This window comes from Homo sapiens, chromosome 6, assembly GCF_000001405.40.
Source record: "Homo sapiens chromosome 6, GRCh38.p14 Primary Assembly".
Taxonomy (NCBI): domain Eukaryota; kingdom Metazoa; phylum Chordata; class Mammalia; order Primates; family Hominidae; genus Homo; species Homo sapiens.
The window spans coordinates 56,539,579-56,560,486 of record NC_000006.12 but is presented as its reverse complement, the minus strand read 5'-3'; the positions used below and the strand labels follow the sequence as shown (position 1 = coordinate 56,560,486).

Here is a 20,908-nt window from a genome sequence, read left to right as displayed (position 1 = left end):
TATCATTATTGTATTTTTGTCTTTTGCTGTACACATGATTTATTATTATTTTTCCCTTGTTAGTCGTTTGAGGCAGAACTGAAGCAGAATGTAAACAAAGTACAGGAGTTGAAAGACAAATTGACAGAGCTGTTGGAGGAGAACCCAGATACTCCTGAGGCCCCCAGATGGAAACAGATGTTGACAGAAATAGGTATGTTGCGTTACTTAGATGAATGCCTATGAAGAAAAGTGCAATCATTTTTCATGTTTATCATGATCTTTATCAGAAAACATTCAACAGTCACTTATTTTTGGATTTGCTTTAATGTTTCAGAATCTATTTTTTGCATAAAGTGTCATTTCAAATTATATTGTGCAGAAAATTGGCATATCTTATGTTTTTTATGGTAAACACAGTAATTAAATCTATTTTTATGAAGAAGGTAGATACTAGTTAATGAAGTGCTGTGCATGGAGTACCTGTTTTCATTAATGTTTCTTTTTCCTAGCTTTTGGTGCTTTATTATGCTTTATATATTTTTAAGCTGTATTATATTGTAAATATTTCTTTCATTCATCTGGAAAAGCTGTGCTCCCTTCTCCTTCATGGAGTTACTTCTGGGACCCCTCCTGCTCCATACTTTATGCTCTTATGCTCTTCCCCAATCAATTTTTTCATCCAAAGTTATCCTCCTACCCACATCCTGTCCCTGTGTAAACAGAGGAGTATACACTGCTCCTCGGAGGTACAGAATTTTCTTTACAAGCCCTATTGTCTTACCAATTTTTATTACTATAATGATGTAGAAAATGAGTGTAAAGGGGGTAGAAAAAAAGAAAATGAGTGTAAGAGAACGGTAATAATTTTCCCCACTTCATAGTTTCATTTGGAGAACCCAATAAGTTAATGTGTATATGGCTCAAACAAATAGTACCTGGCACATATCAAGTGCTATATAAGTATATACTATGATTATAATAATTATTTTACTTTCAATGGTTCCATTACTAAATATTGTCCTTCCTTTAGAGTCAGGTATGCTATGATAAATGTAGAAATCTCTAAGTATATTTTAGTTTGAAAAAGGTTACCCTAAGGGATCTTCATGTTCAAAGATATATTTAATCCAACTATAGAGATTCCTGTCAAGTTGTAATTAATTTGACACTCATTCAGTGACTCTCTTCTAGGATCTCAGAATTACTTGGGGAGAGTATTAGCAAGACATTTTAGAATAGGAGTGGGAATGAGGAATATGTAGTTCAAAAAACCTTCTGGATGAGTTTTTCTATTTTTCCTTCCTGATTTATTGCTTTAATGGCATTATTTTGTTGCCAGATTGTGTTTGACTGGAAAATGTCATGTAGAATGATGTTATTAGGTAAGGTTTCAGTGATTGTGTTCTATTAAAGTCATCCCTTTAGTGTGTTATGCTAAATGAAAACTCTCTCAAGTCAAGTGATCACACCATCAATGAATATTTATCGAGTGACTGTGTTGAAGTGCTGAAAGAAGTGCTCTGATCAGTAACCCTTGACTGCAGGGAGCATACTGTCTTGAGGATGGAGAAAACAGAAAAGGCTTCCTAGCAGAGGGTAAATCCAATGGAATGTAAAGGAAGGATAGGGTTGGGATATATAGAGAGGAGGTATAGCATCTCAGGCACAGGACCTGTGTGAGCAAAAGCCTGTTTGGATTATAAGGATGAAATCAGCAGGGATAGATTAGAGGATCGTCTCAGAGTACAAACCTTCAAAGATTGTGGGAGGCCTTGAATGTCAGGCAATGGTCTTCAGATTTTATCGTCTAGGTAACGAGGAGTTAGTTATTGAAGGATTTGAGCAGTGAAGTGACAGTTTTAAAAGTGACATTTTTTTTAGGGAAATTGTATTAGAAACAAGTGGCTTGCAGCTGAGAAACATTAATAGCAGGGATACTAGTTAGAAGACTGCTAGACTAGGTCATTAGTTCTCCAAGTGTGCTCCTGGGATCAGCAGCAACAGCATCATCTGGGAATTATTTAGAAATGCAGAATTTCAGATACTACTCCAGACCTACTGAATCAAAAACTCAGGGTAGAGCCCAGAAATCTCTGTTAAAGATGCCTCCAGGTGATTCTTAATGCAGCTGAAGTGTGAGAACTACTGGTCAAGGTAAAACATGATGATGTTAGCTCATCACCTGGATGGATTGTGTTAAATTATCACATGCACTCTAAAAATACATATCTACTATATATCAATGTAAAAAATACAAATAATTTTAAAAAACACATGATGAAGGCCAAAATGGAGTTATGGCATTGAGAATGTAAAGGAGGGCTTTAAGGTTTTATGATCGAGGGTATAATAGAGTTAGGAAGCTCATAAAAGAATTTTCTGAATTATTGCATCTTTATGACATGGGAGAAAAGATAACCTTTGAAAGAAATCTAAAAGTCTTAAAAGTCCACCAGTTTTGAGAGGAATATAATGAGTTTTATTTTTTAATGTTGAGTTTAATTGGTGAGACTTCCTACGGGAACTTTCCAGCAGCTGGTTGTTAATGTGTAATTTGAATGGGAAAGAATAATTGGGGATAGATATACAAATTTGGGAGCAATTTGCCTAGAACGGATAAGTGAAGATTTGATATTAAAAGGATTATTGTTCATTGTTCTAGTAAGTCATAGTTTAATAACACACTCTATAGGACTTATAGAAGGAATGAGAGATCCCAGAATGCTGTCTGCTTTAATGAATATTCGATATTCTACGATATCTTCTAAAGTCAGATTCAAAATTTTTTCCCTATACTTTAGTTGACATACAACCATCAGACCTATAAAATCGTAGGTTAGTCCTTTAAGTAACTATGTAACAAGAGTCATAAAAATGGGATTATAGCCATTATATATCATTTTAAATCATACCATACAGTCCTCATAGACATAGTCATGTTAAATGCAAAAAATGTCAAACACCAGTTTCATTTTTTTTCTTTTAGATTCTAAGTGGCAAGAACTCAATCAATTAACAATTGATAGACAACAAAAACTGGAAGAATCCTCCAATAATCTAACCCAGTTCCAGACTGTAGAGGCCCAATTGAAACAGTGGCTTGTGGAAAAAGAACTTATGGTCAGTGTTCTTGGGCCCTTGTCAATTGACCCAAATATGCTAAACACACAAAGGCAGCAGGTGCAGGTGAGTATTACCTAATAACCTGTCTCTCGTGCATAGCAATTTGACTTACTGAGACCAATGTTTTCATTATAAATATATTAACTTTGGTCAGTAGGTGTTTTATTTAACTGCTTTGAAGTATATATGTAATGTTTCAGATGCCCATAAGATACTGTCCTGATATTAGTGGGAATCCCCAAAGAACTAAAGCTATAAGGCATCTTAGAGGCCTCCTTTGAATCCCATGAATGGGCCAAGTCTCCTGATTATTTCAGTCATATTGTGGGTGGTACAGATCTGGTTAAAAGGGCCTTCTTTGAAGTATTAATGCAATTAAGTAATATCTTTATGAGAGGCTAGTCTATACTTTTTACTGTTTAGAAATTACTCCTTTGAGGTTTTATTTATTTTGATTGTGGTAGTAGATAATGAAACTTGTAAAACTCATGCATTTGAGTCCTGATGGAGGAGAGAGAGAATGAGAAGAGGACAAAGAATAAGGGAAGCAGAGAGGGAACCCTGAAACCCAGGGTGTTAGTTAGACTAGTCTAGTTACAAAGCAGATAAATCCACAAGGGAAAAAAATCCAAAAAAATGAGTTTTATTTTTAATGTTTAATGTTTTACAGTCAGGCATAATAGCAGAAGCTCTGTGGTGATTTCAGTTAGTTTTTTAATGTCTGAGTACTGGCTTTAGAGCAGGGAGGCTGTTTTATAAGCTGAAAATTCAAATAAGTTTTTGTAAAAGTCAGATGTTTGAATTCATATCTGTTCATAATCCAAAGACAATGAAAACAAAAGATAAAAGTAAATATCTGGGGAGAAATAATTGCCTCTAGTCTTGGTAGTCTCCCAGAGATAGATAGATAAATAAAATATAGATAAAAGTATAAAAGATAGATAAAATATGATACTAAAAGAATGAGATTTTTGGATCATTAATTTTATGAGTCAAGTTGAGCCTATACATTCTGAGCAGCATGATTTGTTGACTAAAACCTTTATAATAAAGACTGTAAACATCAATAAATTTTATGTTACAAAAACCTTTGCAACTCAATGCATCATGAGTTAATATATTCTAACACCTTTATCACTGTGCATTTTCTTTAATATAAAATTCTATAGGGTATTCCAAAAATCCTACGAAGACAAAAACATGAGTGGGTAAAAACAAATTTGGTGTAAGTGCAGTGTGAACTTGTTTAACAGCAGTGTTTCTCTTTTTATATGAAAATTTACACATGAATTTTTGTTCATTTTGTCCATATTTTTCCTTTAGGGGGATGGGATTAGTTTAGACAGGATATCTCTGTGAAGCACTGTGGCTCTTCGGATTTAAGAGAATTGTACTGCCCTTTAAGTAAAAAGTAGGAAAGTGATAACTAAAAAACAAAAACTGGAGAAATAATTACCATTTCTGTCTGTTTGGACACCAAATCTGTGTTTTCTACAATCAATTATATAATAATTTGCGTTTGTTTACCCTTGTTACCTTAGATTTTGCTGCAAGAATTCGCCACTCGGAAACCTCAATATGAACAGCTGACAGCAGCTGGTCAGGGCATTCTGAGCAGGCCTGGAGAAGACCCTTCTTTACGTGGGATTGTGAAAGAGCAACTGGCAGCTGTGACCCAAAAATGGGATAGCCTAACAGGGCAATTGAGTGACAGATGTGACTGGATTGACCAAGCCATTGTTAAAAGCACACAGTATCAAAGCCTGCTGAGAAGCCTTTCTGATAAACTGAGTGACTTGGATAATAAACTCAGCAGCAGTCTGGCTGTGAGCACGCACCCTGATGCTATGAACCAACAGTTGGAAACAGCCCAAAAAATGAAGCAGGAGATACAGCAGGAAAAGAAGCAGATAAAAGTGGCCCAGGCACTCTGTGAGGATTTGTCAGCACTGGTTAAAGAAGAGTACTTGAAAGCAGAACTTAGTAGGCAACTAGAAGGCATCTTAAAATCATTTAAGGATGTTGAACAGAAAGCAGGTTTGTCTACTTTTAATACATATATTTCCTGGTCAGAAATAAATGTCATATATTGCCTATTTCCAAGATGTTGCCAATAATCCAGGACCCCAAAGAGACTCTGCCCCACTGTTAACATCAGTGAAGAGGAGGATGAATACAGGAGCTCAGAGAGCAGTTTTGTGTTCATAGGCACATGGAATGTTAGGGTCATTCTACACACATAATCTGTTGGCAAAATTGGCTTCCTGAAGGCCTATTAAAATCTCAGGTACCCCAAACTGGTTTTTAAAAAATGTAAATGTTTTTTGCTGTATGAAAGTCTTATTTAGCCAGAAAAAAACATGAATAGTTAGTAAAAGGCTTTGCATCATCTTCTCATCTGCTGTTACTTTATCTATTCTGTCATAGAAAACTTTTCTAGAGAAATGTGCGAAAGAGAGGCATTTGTCACTATTTTCCTCTCTCACTGTGGCTATAATTCTGTGGCATATGTGATGATATTTGTCAGAGGTAGCAGTGAATTATTAGAATTCACTTCATCAGAAAGCCCTGATGAAGAAAGACACATTTTGTTGTTAAGTTTGTTCTGTTTGAAAAGTTTCTAGTTTCTTGCACCTAGTAGATACTCAAGTTATGCTTTTTAATTGATTGGATTTACTGATCACAGCAACTGTTTCAGACTTATTCCTTTATTTGACATGACATTAACAATAGTAAATATCAGCTATTATCATTATTATTCTTAATGGTATGAACAGTTATGTGATAGGTATTAAACTAAAAGCTTTACATGTACTGTAATTTAATCTGTATACCTACTATTAATATTGTCAATTTACAGTGGGAGAAATTAGGCTTAAAGGTTTAATCATTTGCCTGGGGTCTTCCAACTCTGAAGAGGTTAAACCAAGATACAAACTCATGTAGTTTTTATGTGCTACATTATGTTGCCTCCATAATATGTAAAAGTCATAGACGTGGCCAGGAGCGGTGGCTCACACCTGTAATCCCAGCACTTTGGGAGGCCGAGGCCGGCGGATCACGAGGTCAGGAGATCGAGACCATCCTGGCTAACACGGTGAAACCCTGTCTCTACTAAAAATACAAAAAATTAGCCGGGCGTGGTGGCGGGTGCCTGTAGTCCCAGCTACTCAGGAGGCTGAGGCAGGAGAATGGTGTGAACCCAGGAGGAGGAGCTTGCAGTGAGCTGAGATAGCGCCTCAACACTCCAGTCTGGGTGACAGAGCGAGACTCTGCCTCAAAAAAAAAAAAAAAAAAAAAAAAAAAAAGTCATAGACGCGAAAAAGTCATATTTAATAAGAGATGGATTATTTATCAACATAATTAAGAACTTTGCCATCATCACTTCTCCATACTGGAATAGAGAAGACACCAGCACAGCAGGCGATGTGTGGCATGGCCACTCCCTGCACCTTGATGCATTTTTACTTATTTCCTTATTCTTTGTTTTCCCCTCTCATCTGTATCCTGCATCTTTTCTTGATTGTGTATTTTCTTCTGCCTACTTCTTGCTTCTTTTCCCCTTTGTCAATAACTTAAGTTCACTTGTAGTTCTTATAGTCAATGCTAAAAGCCCTTGCTTTTCAACAATTCTATATATTCATTCAGAGATTTTTATTTTGGCTTTTCATAGATTAAATTAACATTTTGATGTAAAATAAACATATCTTGTAATTTTATTTCTAGAGAATCATGTCCAGCACCTTCAGTCGGCCTGTGCAAGCTCTCATCAATTTCAGCAAATGTCTAGAGATTTTCAGGCTTGGCTGGATACAAAGAAAGAAGAGCAAAACAAATCTCATCCAATATCTGCCAAACTCGATGTCTTGGAGTCATTAATTAAAGATCATAAAGACTTTAGTAAAACTTTGACCGCTCAGTCTCATATGTATGAAAAAACCATTGCAGAAGGTGAAAATCTGTTATTAAAAACACAAGGGTCTGAGAAGGCAGCCTTACAGTTACAGCTTAATACAATTAAAACCAATTGGGATACATTTAATAAGCAGGTGAAAGAAAGAGAAAACAAGTTAAAAGAGTCATTGGAAAAAGCCCTTAAGTATAAAGAGCAAGTAGAGACTCTCTGGCCATGGATAGACAAATGCCAAAACAACCTGGAGGAAATAAAATTTTGCTTGGATCCTGCTGAAGGAGAGAATTCTATTGCCAAGTTAAAGTCTCTGCAGAAGGAAATGGACCAACACTTTGGTATGGTAGAATTACTGAACAACACAGCCAATAGCTTGCTCAGTGTCTGTGAGATAGATAAAGAAGTTGTTACAGATGAGAATAAGTCACTGATCCAGAAGGTGGACATGGTCACTGAACAACTTCACAGTAAGAAATTCTGTCTGGAGAACATGACTCAGAAGTTTAAAGAATTTCAAGAAGTTTCCAAAGAATCTAAAAGGCAGCTTCAGTGTGCAAAGGAGCAGCTAGATATCCATGATTCGCTGGGATCCCAGGCTTACAGTAACAAATACCTGACCATGTTGCAAACTCAGCAGAAATCACTTCAGGCCTTGAAGCATCAGGTAGATTTGGCTAAAAGACTTGCACAGGACCTTGTGGTAGAGGCCTCAGACTCAAAGGGAACCTCTGATGTTTTATTACAAGTGGAAACCATAGCTCAAGAGCATAGTACACTAAGTCAGCAGGTTGATGAAAAGTGTTCTTTCTTAGAAACCAAGCTTCAGGGCATTGGGCATTTCCAGAATACCATTCGAGAAATGTTTTCTCAGTTCGCAGAGTTTGATGATGAACTGGATAGCATGGCTCCAGTGGGGAGAGATGCAGAAACATTGCAAAAGCAAAAGGAAACTATAAAAGCCTTTCTAAAGAAACTAGAAGCCCTCATGGCAAGCAATGACAATGCCAATAAAACCTGCAAGATGATGTTAGCCACAGAAGAAACCTCTCCTGACCTTGTTGGAATCAAAAGGGACTTGGAGGCCTTAAGCAAACAATGCAACAAGTTACTGGACCGAGCCCAAGCCAGAGAAGAGCAGGTTGAAGGGACAATTAAGCGCCTTGAAGAATTTTACAGCAAATTGAAAGAATTTTCTATTCTGCTCCAGAAAGCCGAAGAACATGAAGAGTCACAAGGTCCTGTTGGTATGGAAACGGAGACAATTAATCAGCAGCTTAACATGTTCAAGGTAGGGAACTCTTCATTTTTACCCAGTGTTTTTATTGTCAATGAAGTTTCTAATTTGCTTAGAAAGGAGATTGCCTATTTTGTAGAACTTTTTAATAATGATTGTCATACAATATTTGAGCCAGAATGAGCATATATGGGGGTAACACCCAGGCAGGTGGGGCAGTTACAAGGCCACTGGGGATTTGGGCCTTTGTGGGATAAGGTCTGAGATAAAATCAGACCAAAGGGTGCTTGGCAAAGTTCCAGGCAAGCCAGAAACTGACATCATAGGGTCCATTTCTGGAATTATTCACAATTGCCATCTGTGGTGACCGTGGCTGTGTTTTGAACTCTATTGCAGATGTTTATCTTCCAGCAATTTCTTCAATGGTGAATTACCGTCTTTTCTGCCCTTTCTTTTTATAATTATCTTCTCATCCTTCTTAATTTCTTCCACAGACATTTTTCTTCTAAAAGCTCATATTTTTAAAGGCAATATGGAGTTCCATGTTGTAATCTGTTTCATTAAACAAAGGTCTTAGGCTCATGCCCCAGAGGATTAGAGGTGAATTTTTTTTTTATTGCATGACATAAGCTCCTCAGTGCCAAGAAATGACTGCCACTCAACAGTGATCAATGACACTTAATGAATGAAACATTTGATAAAAATGGTGGGCCAGTTTCCGTGTCATTGGATTTGGCCTTATTTATGATAGTGAGAACAGAAGTCACATCTGTATAGGGGACAAAGATAGGTTTATCCCTGGAAACAAAGGGTCCTAAATAGCAAGCAATTTTCTATATGGGGCTGATATAAACCTTTAGGGTTTCACAGCTCCTGTTATATTTATGAGGTGTGTTTTACTGGCAAAGATATATTGCACCATTAGTGCATAAAGAATAAACTAAGACCAAATAAAAACAGTTTATAAAACCACAAATTATTTTCTTTGAGAGATGAATATGAATCAAATGGACTTCCAAATTCTGTGCAGTTATAGTTGATAAACTCTTTCATTTGCTTGTCTTTAATAACATTATTTAGGTGACTGAATCTTGAAAAATACCTTCTTTTTCTTTGTATTGTTATTAGTTATGATTATTTGCAGTTTATTAAACGCCTTTGAAGCCCAGTTCCTTCAAGGCTCACAAAGCTGTGATTCTGTATTTAGTTCTTGATTCTTGAAGGTGAAGGAAACGTCCTTATTGTTGACTTGACCTCCTTCATTGCTCTGTCAAATTTTTGTATTTCTGATTTGCAAAATAAAGATTTCACGTGAGAGAATCCTCTATTAGAAAAACATAGTTCTGTGGCAATTGCTGCATCAAAGACTGGGAGAGATCTTGGGAGCAACTCTTCCTTCGTCAGTAAAGTTTGGAATTCTCTCTAGAACCCTGTCAGCACCTTAAAGATTAAATGACAGTAACCAAGCACTGTTTATACTAATGAAATTTAACCACATTAAATGGTTAAATTGTGAAACATTATGATTTCTTTCGGTTTCCTGTGCATTTGTTTAGAAAAAAGACCTTCATTTCTCTTTGCTGTTTCTAACTACTTGTAAGACAATGGACAAAGTAATAATACTGGTGCTGCTATTTGCGGGTGTCTCCCCTTTGGTGTTCCCAAGTACAGTGAAAAATGTGGCTGTTCATGTGGAGAACTGAAAGTAAGAAAAAGCAAGAGATAGGAGGAGCTTTCTCACCATTGCACTGAAAGTGTTTTGCAAACTGCAAAGTCCCAAATAAGTAACATTACCATTAATAGCTACAGAGATTGTTTTATTTGATTGTGAAGAAATATAGAGTGATAATTTCTCCTAAAATAAACCATTTAGCATGCTGTGTTTGTTTGCTTTCAGATTATTTGGAAAGAGTTGATTGATTTTATTGAAATTCAGCAATAAAGAACATCATGGCATACTTTCAGTATCTTGAAACCCAGTGACTTGAAAAAAAAGTTTTCAAGTAGACAAATACTCTGCATTTAGTATATTCCAGTGCCATAGGTAAAAAAAGGACAAGAATATGATTATGGTAGCTCACACAACCACTAATTCCATTTATCTGTGTATGTGTGTGTGTGTATTCCTTAAAAATAGTAATTACAATAATCAACAAATCAATTTATTATGGGCTTACTATGTGTCAAGCACTATTTTAATTTATCTTTAATCCTGTTAACAGTCATGAGAGGTAGATGCTATTACTATTCTGCATCTTATTATAAAGAAGCCTAGGCTCAAGGAGGTTAAGTGACTTGTCCAAGGTCACACGGATAGTGTCAGAACCTGATTCTTTTGATGAAAATGATGCACTGCTTCGTGTAAACTTTATTTGTCATCCATGTTTCACATCTGGTATTTTCTCTGGGGGATTTTCTAATCATCTTTGCTGTAGCCTAATTTAGACAGCCCGAATACCCAGCCATTGTTCATTTTAATCCAAAATACCAAGAACACCCACTTAAGGAACATGTTCTATAAAACTAGCAGCTATGAGAAATATGAGATGAACATGTAAAACAGTCTTAGAAACTGATGTTATGTAGGTGCCGTGATATGATAAGGGTGATGATGATAATGATGATGTTGATGGTGGAGATTCCAGTGATCACCACTACTGCTGCTACTGAGATGGAGCCAAACATTTCATTGTTTTAGTGATTATATCTTTCTTGGTTAAAGTAGTAAATTGACTTGTTTACAGTTCAGTATTTAATTTAGTTTCTGTTGGGCCTTAGACTTTTGTTAAACATTAGTTTTAACATAATTTTTGGAAAGTTTTTTAAATTTTTTAAATGGAATGATTTGTATTGAGTGAAAAGCTAGTTATAATTCCTAAAAGTGAAACAGAAAAGTAGTGAAGGACTGAGTCTGTCTTCCTTATTGACTTTGAAATATAATCTAGTTTGACATTAATCTATCTGGTAGCTTTAGTTTAACCTAATGTCACAGATAAAATCCTATAATAGTTTTTCTTAATACAAAATAAACTGCCTTCTGAGCAGAACTGAGAATAATAGCTATTACCCAGTTACTCAGCAGGGGGTGCCTTCTATTCACTGGACCCGTAATAGAGGATTTAAAGCAGGTTTGATAGACTTCCCCGATTCTGTTTTTCTTTCTATAGTTCAAGAAATAGCTGTTAATAGTTACTTGAGGTTTTCTTGTAAAGACAAGGACAAAATTCATTCGTTCATGTTTAAGATACCAATTCAAACATAATACTTAAAGCAAATGCTATTCTAAACCAAATGTCCTAACTCACTCAGTGAAAACTATCCTGAGATTTTGAAAGTAGATTGGTGTTATCTTTTGTGTTAGTTAGCTTGACGTTTTAAAACTATTTTGATTATATATAAGTTCTGTTGTACATAAGTTTTTCTACTTCTGAATACTAGTCATTGGACTAACATGTCTGAAGGGTGAAGTGTTTTCTATACTGTTGGTAAGTTAGAGTACCATTTTCCACTTACACTTATTTATGATTACGGTTAAATTCTATGCACACTGTTATAAATTGGTGGAATGAATAGCAGGGCGATTCTGTTTGTCTCTAGGCAGGAAGAAAGAAACTCCTTTGGTGTTCCCTCTATCCCTACTCCTATCTGAAGACTCCTAGCTCAAGATTATCTTCAAATCTAAACCACATTATTAAGTAACATTAATATTAACACATTATTATTTATCAAAGACATATGTAACTGACTGTATACAAGGAATGCCTCCCAGTAATTCCTATTATGTGATTAACAGCCAATCAGGTCTTCTGATCATTATGAAGTAACCATTATCACCATATTGCATGATTTAATTTCAATGAAAATCAAAGAGACTTGATGCTTTAATGAGTCCTAGCTAAATCTGTACCTTCCCCACCTCTATCTAGGCCAAGCTTGTCCCACCCATGGCCCACGGCCCACCTGTGGCCCAGGATGGCTTTGAATGTGGCCCAACACAAATTCATAAACTTTCTTAAATAACATGACAAGATTTTTTTTGCCATTTTTTTAAGCTCATCAGCTGTCATTGCTGTTAGTGTATTTTATGGGTGGCCTAAGACAACTCTTCTTCTTCCAGTGTGGCCCAGGGAAGCCAAAAGATTGGACACCCCTGATCTAGACCATTGTGAAAAAATGCCTTACCTCAGAACCTGCTTACAGTTTATTTCTGGCCACTCTGTTGCTGCCCCAATTGTAATTCATTTTGTCCCCACAAATGAGTACATCTCCAGTACATTCTCTCTGAGGATTTCTTTTTATTTTCAAATGGACATAGAATTACATTGAGCAGAGGATTTTTAAGCCAAGTTGAAACCAGAGACAAAGAGCAGAACATATGCCTAATTATACTGTAATAAATTTTCTCTGGTCCAGGTGAAGGCATTGTTTAACCCAGGCATCATTATTTTAATATTCGGTAAACCAAAATGCCAAGTAGCATGAGGCTAAGGAAGACAGGCAGTTTGAGCACAAATTCTTATTATGGTGTTTATCAAATGATCCAGAAACAACCTCTGATGTCACCATATTGAAAATCAAACTGTCCAAAAACTGCTTTAATAGTACTTTTAAAGTGTTCATATTGTTATATAGAGGTCAATGACAAATTATTTTCCATTTTATTAAGAATGGGGAAATTAGATAAAACTGTTGCAGAAGAGGTTTTTGTTAGGGAAAATTCCTTAATAGATTGGATTTTTGTTAATGAAGCTACCTTAGCAAAGGGGTTGCATGTTCCCTTCCTCTGGTATTTTTAATGGTGAAAATATTTCCACTATAGACACTGTAACTAGATGCATGGCTTTTATAGGAAGATCACATTATTTAATAAACCCAGAGCAAAGTGGCATTTAACAACTTTAGGAAGAAAGAATACTCCATATGCTGGTCAAGAGAGAAGCCCTACTGAAGCAGAGACCACACCTAGCTATGAAGAGGTGGAGCTGATCTGCTGTGTGGTATTATTAACACCTCATATTCTTATCCACACAAACTAGGCATAACAGGTGGATACCCTCTTTTTCACATGATACAAGGAATATACCATACTTCTCGGAAAGGGCTGTCAAAAGGGAACTTTGCAACATGTTCTCTTTTCAGTTTTGCTGCTAACTAATGCTACGGCCCTTTATGTCACAGAGCTCCTCTTAACTTTTATTCCTTCATTTGAGATTGAGGAATTAAAGTTGGTTGTTCTGAAGGCAGTTCCAGCCAGAGATTTTATAATGTAGGATTTTTTGGTAGTTGTTATTTTGTTTTGCTTTTACCTTGATAAACCTATATCACCATTTTAGAGTGATCCAATAAAACAGCCAAACTGCGGTATCTACTGTCATTATTATAGGCCCACCTTTGATCAAAGGAAACCTTCATAATGTATTTTATTAATATGGAAAGTTGCTTAAAGTTGTGTGTGAGAGAGAGACAGAGAAGAATTTGCCTTGTTATGAAATTAGACATTGGTTTCTTGAAAAGAACATTTGAGTGGTAAATGTTTATCTAGGTCTCTAATCATTCATTAATAACAATGTAGGATAAGGAAATGCTACGATTTTAAGTGAAAAGTGTCTGGAGCTGCTCAAGAACTGGATACAACAAGAAAATGTCTGTGCTCACAGATCCTATTCTCACATATCTCCAGTTGTCTTCATTTCAAGCTTTATTTCTTTTGTCAGTATTTTAATATGAAAAGTATTTCCAGATTTTGTTTGTTTTTTTTTTTCTCTGAAGAAAATTGAATAGGGCCATTAACATGTGAGTTGCTTCTGCTTGCTGGATAGCTTTTCTTTAAATGAACTTTTTGACATTTATATATATATATATATATATATATATATATATATATATATATGAAATATGTATATATTTCAATTAATAAGATTTATATATAGAATCATCTTCTGTTACATAGAATTTTTTTTCACTGTCACCAGAAAACCTCATTGAAGATGTGGGAAAGGCATAGTCTTAGTATTGTAGTAACTTACAGGAAGAAGAGCAAGTGCTCATTAAAGATATTAACTAAGGTTCACATCAAGATAAACTCCTGTCAAGATCAGTTGGTGAATCTCTTGTTTCTAAATCGGTTTAGGGCTTTAGGATGAGAATATTCTACTTTCTTCTAAATATAAACTGTATTCCCATGAAATAAATAGTTATTGCATATTCATATGATGCATATTCATATCTTTGGAAACGTTTAGCCATTTATGTGAATAAATTTAATAGTTTGAAAACTAAAAATATAGCATGCCTTCAGTTTTCATTAGCTAATGGCTTATTTGTTTTAGAAAGAACAATTTTTGCTCTTAATGCCTGTTTATGTACTTGCAGCACAAAACGCATATCCCTTGTTTGACTTCTCATCCTGATTTCAAGAGCTATCAGGCCAAGAGTTATTCATTGATAATAGTGCGTTTACTTACATAGACATTTTTCACTTACTGCACATTGAACTTAATACCTCCAATCCTTCAACCCTAAAACCTCCATGTTTCAGCTGATAAAATTGCTCTTTTCTATGAGTAAATAATGTGTAAATAATAATCATAAATGTGAATGATAAAACTTTTCTATGATGTACATTGTTGCACTTAGTGGGAAGACTTTTCAGGGACTTTCCTTTTAAAAGATTTAATTAAACTTTAGGAATATAAAATGAGAAAATATTACTGTTTTGCTTATAATTCAATTAGTAGTTGTGTACTTTTCTGAAATCATCTGCTTTAGTAGATAGTTTAGCTGGATTATATCTAGTAGGCTACAAAAAGTAAGTAAAGCTACATTTTGAAAACAGCATTATGATTTCTGTATTATGAAATAATAGTGTTGGCTATTTTTCAGGAAAACTTTACGTACCTTATTATGTATTTCTCTCATTGTGAAAATGTGAGGGGGCTGGGCACAGTGGGTCATGCCTGTAATCCCAGCACTTTGGGAGACTGAGGCAGGAGGACTGCTTGAGCCCAGGTGTTCAAAACCATCCTGGGCAACAGAGTGAGACCCCATCTCCACAAAAAATTTTTAAAATTAGCCAGGTGTAGTGGTGCGCATCTGTACTTGGGAGGCTGAGACAGGAGGATCACATGAGCCCGAGAGGTCAAGGCTGCAGTGAGCTGTGATCATGCCACTGCATTTCAGCCTGGGTGACAGAGCAAGACCCTGTCTCAGAAAAAAAGAAAATGTGATGGATCTAGATATCATGATTAATATTTAACATGGTTTAATATATCTTGATTTTATTAACATTAGAGGCTATAACATTTATAGTAGCTGTCTAAACCAAATTTTTGGGGAAAAATAAACCAGTCCGGTTCTGCTCTATATATGAGCTCTTACATGTCATCCAGGTAAGACTTTGGAATGTGATTTCAAGTAACAAAGATATATGTAAATTATTGTGACAAATTTTAATAGCACAAATCTTAATGTGAATCAATATAAAAATCAGTTCAATAAAAAAGGAATTTAGTTATTAAATAAGTGGTGTATACTTGAACTCAATTAACTAGGGAATATTTTCCCATAGCACTGTTTACTTCCGAACTGTGTCATGGCCATTTTCTCATTCACATTCCCATTCTAGTGTAAGTGGTGTAAGGACAGTGGTGGCTATGTCTTTACAACATCATTTTTCCAGTGCTTACATGTTGTTTGGCAGACAGTGAGTGCTATTTTTTTGAATCATTTAATTTATGAATGAATTATTTGTGCAGTTTTAAAAATGTACTACCCACCTCAAATGTGAGGTTATATGTTGCTCCTCTTAGCTTTTCATAAGCCTAGAATAATATTGTGCTAATGATTCAGAGTTAGAGTCTAAGGTGAACTGAATTAGAGCCATTCTTTATTATGAAAAGTTCTGTAAGGATCTTAGAGTGTTTAGAGAAAGGCACTCAGAGATCTCAAGGAAACTTTATTATTCATATTGCCATGAATAAGTAGTTTTCTAAGCTTACATATCAAGAGAGCGGCAGCTGGGAGTAAGACTCTTGGCCTCTACTATTTCCCAGTCTAGTGCCCAATCCACTGTTCAAGCGTGGTAAGTATGAGACCATTTTTCTTTCTCTTATCAGTGCCTTATTACAGCCTGTGTGCTTGAACACCACAGAATCAGGTGCTTGTTGAAATATTTCACGTCTTGAACATGAAAAATTGGCATTGATATTGTGATGTGGATGGATATTTTTAAATCTCTTTTTCTTTATAGATAGTCATATATCTAGTCAACTTAATGATGGCCACATACTGAGTTGCATCTAATAATCTAATAATTGTTGAATGGATGAGTTACCGATAGAGTTTTCATTATGAAAAGATTTTTTTAAAAAAGATTCAACTCTTAGATTTATCGAATGAATATTGAGATAACGTTTTCTCATTAAAGGCACAAAAGTTTCCTCCCACATCTTTTCTGTAAAATTAACAAAGAAAGTATAAAGTTGTTTTTACTAGAACTGCCTTCTTCATTTGGAGTTAGCACAGTTTTGTTCATGTTCAAATGATTATTTTATGAGATTGAAGAAAGACCGCTTCATTTGTAACTGACACTCTGACGATGTTTCTTATTTTGTAAAATAGAGAATGTTTAGATTTTATTTAAATAAAACTATTAAATTTCCTACAAAGACTAAGAGTTGGCTTGCTGAATTTATTTTCAAACAGTATTTTTAGAAGGGTGTTCAGTAGATAAAAATCTGTGGAGGTGATTTTGTTTATTAAATATCTGGAGTCAGTGAGTACCACTCTTGGGCCTTGTGTTAACCTCAAGAGTACTGTATGGTTATTAGTAACTACTAATATTCATGTCAGCAGTGCTGAGAGCCCCTCACTGGTAGGAATACTTTACTCTGGAGAACAGTTAGATTTGAACTTGGGCTTCAAAAGGGAACGGCAAAACACTCTCGACTTCAAAGTGATCTGCACTTTGCATCGCAGATACTGCTGAAGCATCAGATTCTTCAGTGTAAAAGTGCGGTTTCAACTGAAGGATAGGGACCTATGTAGCCCCCCTTTTCCCATTTAGTATTCAAATGAGTGCGGTCTCTGGACCTTCACAAAATAATTTCTTCGCGGATCTCCCGGTGCCAGGTTCTGCCTCCGCAAGCCCTACGGATCCCCTCCCATTTTGAAGTAGTCGGCGGGGTTTCCGCGGTGTTTGAACCTGAGCTGTCCCTCTCCCCAGTGGCCGGACTCGGCCTGCTTTGCGCTGATGTCACCACAAGCTGTTACATTGCAGCCTCTCGGCTTCGAGGTACCTCCCACTGAAACCGCTCGCCGACTCCCGGGAAGAAGCGAAAGATGACTGCGAAGTTAAGTCACGGGAGGGCGTAGCACCGAAGTGGTAGAGAGCTGCGGCTCCGGAACGCCCGGCAGGCCCAGAGACGCAGCAGATGGTGCCTGAAGAGAGAGGGCGTTGCTGCAAGCGCCCTGGCTGGAGAGCATGCCTGCCCGGCACCGTGCTGCCCTGAGGAGCCGCGGACAGCCCCGGAGCTCCCTTCCGGAGTTCTTTCTGCTGCCTCCACCGCCACCGTCTCTCTCTAGCCCCAGCTGAAATGAAGGCCATACCGCGGCCACAGAACTTGGTTCAGTTTCAAAGGCTAATGTAGTCCCTGGGTTTTCTGCTCAATGTGAATTACGCTGCCTGTGCCTTAGAGGAAGCCGCGGAGCTCTTCGTTGCTGCAATTGCCTCAGGTGGAATAAGCCTTCCTAAGGAGGACCAGATAAGAATCTTTGGAAATGGCTTTTTTTTTTTTTTTTTTTTTTTTTTTAAAGAAGCTTAGTAGTACACCATGCTTTCTGTTTACTTTAAACGGTTGCTGGATTGTACTGCCCTGGGTGTCTAAAAGTCTGGTGTTTTTTTCTTTCTTCCTTTGAGTAGTTCTGAATAGCATTGAAGAAGCTTAAAACAGGAAGAAAACCTGCCTTTTCAATCAAGTTTATTTATAGCTACTCCCCCCTCCAAAAAAAAAAAGTAAAAGAAAAATGTAACTTTCTCATAACGTTAGACTTAACTTATTTTTCTCTGAAGATTTGTTCTGTGCCTTGATGTGAACAATACCAGGTCCCTGTGTTTGTCTTTTAAATTTCTGGAGCATGGTTTATTTACCAGAATGGTGGAGTTCTGCAAGCCATCTTTAAGTGGATTACAGTTAACCAGAGCTCTGCCGAAATTAACATTCAGGCTGTTAAAATGCTTGCTCATTTGGAAATTTTAATCTGGAAATATCAGACTAAAAAGGGAAATGGACTGACAATGGAATGTTCTGAGTGTTTGAGCCACTGTTAAGTGTGTGTTTGTTTATTTTCTGTGTTTTGGAGTGTGTGAACGGGGACTTTGGGAGCTGGGAAAGGTGGACAAAGGAGATTTTTGTTCTCTGTTATTGATGCACTTTATTGTTTAGAATCATCCTAAAATCAACCAGGTAAAAGGATAGTTGCATTTATACTGATGCACTGCTGATGACCTTAAACACCTCATGTATTATGAAATATATTATTTGAGCATGTGTCTTTATGCTAAAGACACTCCATAGCTCTGTTCAGAAGTATACTTTTTTGGAAGATGCTTTATCTTATTTCTTATCTGTGTCAAGAGCTGCAATATTTGTTTTAACTATCTGCAAAATGGGGAAGCCACTCAGCAGACCAGACTGTTTACGTCAGAATCCCCCATGTGTAGGGAAGGGTGAAGAAGAGGAGGACCTAAATATCGAAGACTGTTACGTCCCACAGCGGTCAATCTATGATACTGTTAGACTAAATGAACAGATAGACTCTGGTTCAAAAGGTAGTCTATCTTCCAGGCATTTTACAGATCGAACTTTACCCTACAGTCACAGAACACTGGATGTTAGTTCTTTATGCTCTAATGGTGCCCTTACTTCTTCCAGTGTATTTGAGCTGAGAGGTCGGGAAGCTAACAAACTAGATGAAAAGATGATCTTTGATGCACTCAAACTAAATAGTGATATCATTCGAACCACAGGATTACCTAAAGCCAAATCTCATGCGGAAAAGAAAGAGCATAGACGGTCATGGCGAATGTTTGTCCCGGCCAATTTTATGGATTATGCAAACAAAAGTGAAAGCTCTTTTGTTGAACCTGCTGATATGTCAGATGCTGTTACCAAGGCCAGCAAGTGCAGATGGGGTACTAATTCTCTCACTTCGGAGGAGGATGACTCTGGTTTATGTAGCCCTCCAGCAGAGAGGGAAGAAAAACAGGGCATTTTAACTGGAGACCAGTCACGAATTAAAAGTTTGTCTTCTACTGAAGATATTCTTGTAACAGACCAATACAGACCATTTTTTTCTGTTAATTCCATTAGCGAACAGAAAATCCCACTGCTTTCATGTCAAAGTGCCCACCCTGATGAAAATTTCAAAATGATTTTACATGATGTTTCTCCACTAGAGGAAGCAAAACATGTAAATGGTCAAAGGGAAATCCACGATGAAAATTGTTGCCTGCAGAATAATTTGAAAGAGAGCCCTGTGAAGTGTGACCCATTAATTATGCCAAGAAATAGAGAAAATGAGCATATTTTTAACCTTGGAGAAGAGGACGAAACATACGGACCTGGAGAATCCCAAATCACAGCACAAAGTAGGGAACTCTTGAAGGATTCCCCTCAAGATTTAGATCTCTCTCACACAGATCTAGGGGAGAGTGATGTAGATTGTGGTAGCACCAGCTTAGTAGAAAATGTGACACTTTTGACACAATATGATTCAGGAGAATGCAACATTGCATCTAAAGAGGAAGTGGAGGCTCCTCTTTCTGCCCAGGAGAGCGAAATGCTCTATAAGAAGTTCTCCCTGAAATTCGTATCAGCAAGAAAGAAAGCAGCACCCAGAAAAACAGGGGCCCAGGCAGGAATATTGGACACAGTCTGCAATGGCTTTCAGTTGGTTCAGGTAATTCATGGAAATATGAAACTCTGCAGTGTCAAAAGTTTGCGGTTCTGCTAAAAGTTTGTGGTTCTGTTTCAGAGTGGTCACTAGTGTTTCTAATAATAATGAAATCCACACTTTTGTTTTGGAGGTTTGACTAGCACCCTGCAAGATGCCACATATTGATAAATGGATAATTATAACAAATTAATAGGGACTGTTTTGGAGAAGAATTGATATTCCCAGCTGTTCAGGGTCCTGTTATTGATTGTGCAGATGGTGGCCATTCCCCTTCATTTAGAAGGCCTCCACTGTGAATATATGTTAATGTTAGGCTTTTACACAAATTGTGGTAAAGACACTGCCATTTAAGAGCCATTATATTGGATTTATTAAGCTTGAACAGGCTTAGTCATGAAGGTACAAACAGTATTATATTGTTATGGCCTGCAAAGTACTCTATCCACATTAAGGACTTTTTTTAATAGGTTGAAAAATTTCTCTCAGGAGCTCTGCATGTGAGAGTAGAGTTATTATGCTGTACTTTGCAGGCATTATAGCTCCCAACTTTTTGTGAGTGGTGAATGAGGTAAGAAAGTAAAGGGTGCAGCCTTGTAATAAGTAGAGATTGCTTGTCAAGCCTGTAATTTTTTTCTTCCCACTCAGATTGAAGTTCAGCTGTTTTGGTACTTTTACTAAACTCTTCTGGTAAACTTGGCCTCAAA

The 20,908-nt window shown here is 36.7% G+C and overlaps 1 protein-coding gene across 10 annotated transcripts in view, besides 3 other annotated features; it reads left to right on the top strand.

Moving 5' to 3' along the window:
- DST (dystonin) overlaps positions 1-20,908 on the top strand; it is a 496,835-nt gene that overhangs the window by 394,344 nt on the left and 81,583 nt on the right. For all 10 annotated transcript variants that reach the window (NM_001144769.5, NM_001374722.1, NM_001374736.1 and 7 more), the window contains 4 exons: positions 64-193; positions 2,969-3,168; positions 4,647-5,142; positions 6,832-8,303. In NM_001144769.5, coding sequence (NP_001138241.1) covers positions 64-193; positions 2,969-3,168; positions 4,647-5,142; positions 6,832-8,303 — 2,298 coding nt within the window. The remainder of the gene's footprint in view (positions 1-63; positions 194-2,968; positions 3,169-4,646; positions 5,143-6,831; positions 8,304-20,908) is intronic.
- Positions 17,407-17,826: an enhancer, noted in NCBI's record as "active region_24701". NCBI's record gives its function as "activates an Ori minimal core promoter by ATAC-STARR-seq in GM12878 lymphoblastoid cells {active_cell/tissue: GM12878}" and the evidence as "EXISTENCE:reporter gene assay evidence [ECO:0000049][PMID:35858748]".
- Positions 17,407-18,296: a biological region, named in NCBI's record as "OCT4-NANOG-H3K27ac-H3K4me1 hESC enhancer GRCh37_chr6:56406989-56407754".
- Positions 17,531-18,296: an enhancer, noted in NCBI's record as "OCT4-NANOG-H3K27ac-H3K4me1 hESC enhancer chr6:56406989-56407754 (GRCh37/hg19 assembly coordinates)". NCBI's record gives its function as "activates a minimal SCP1, AML or CMV promoter by ChIP-STARR-seq in naive H9 embryonic stem cells {active_cell/tissue: H9 hESC(naive)}" and the evidence as "EXISTENCE:reporter gene assay evidence [ECO:0000049][PMID:30033119]".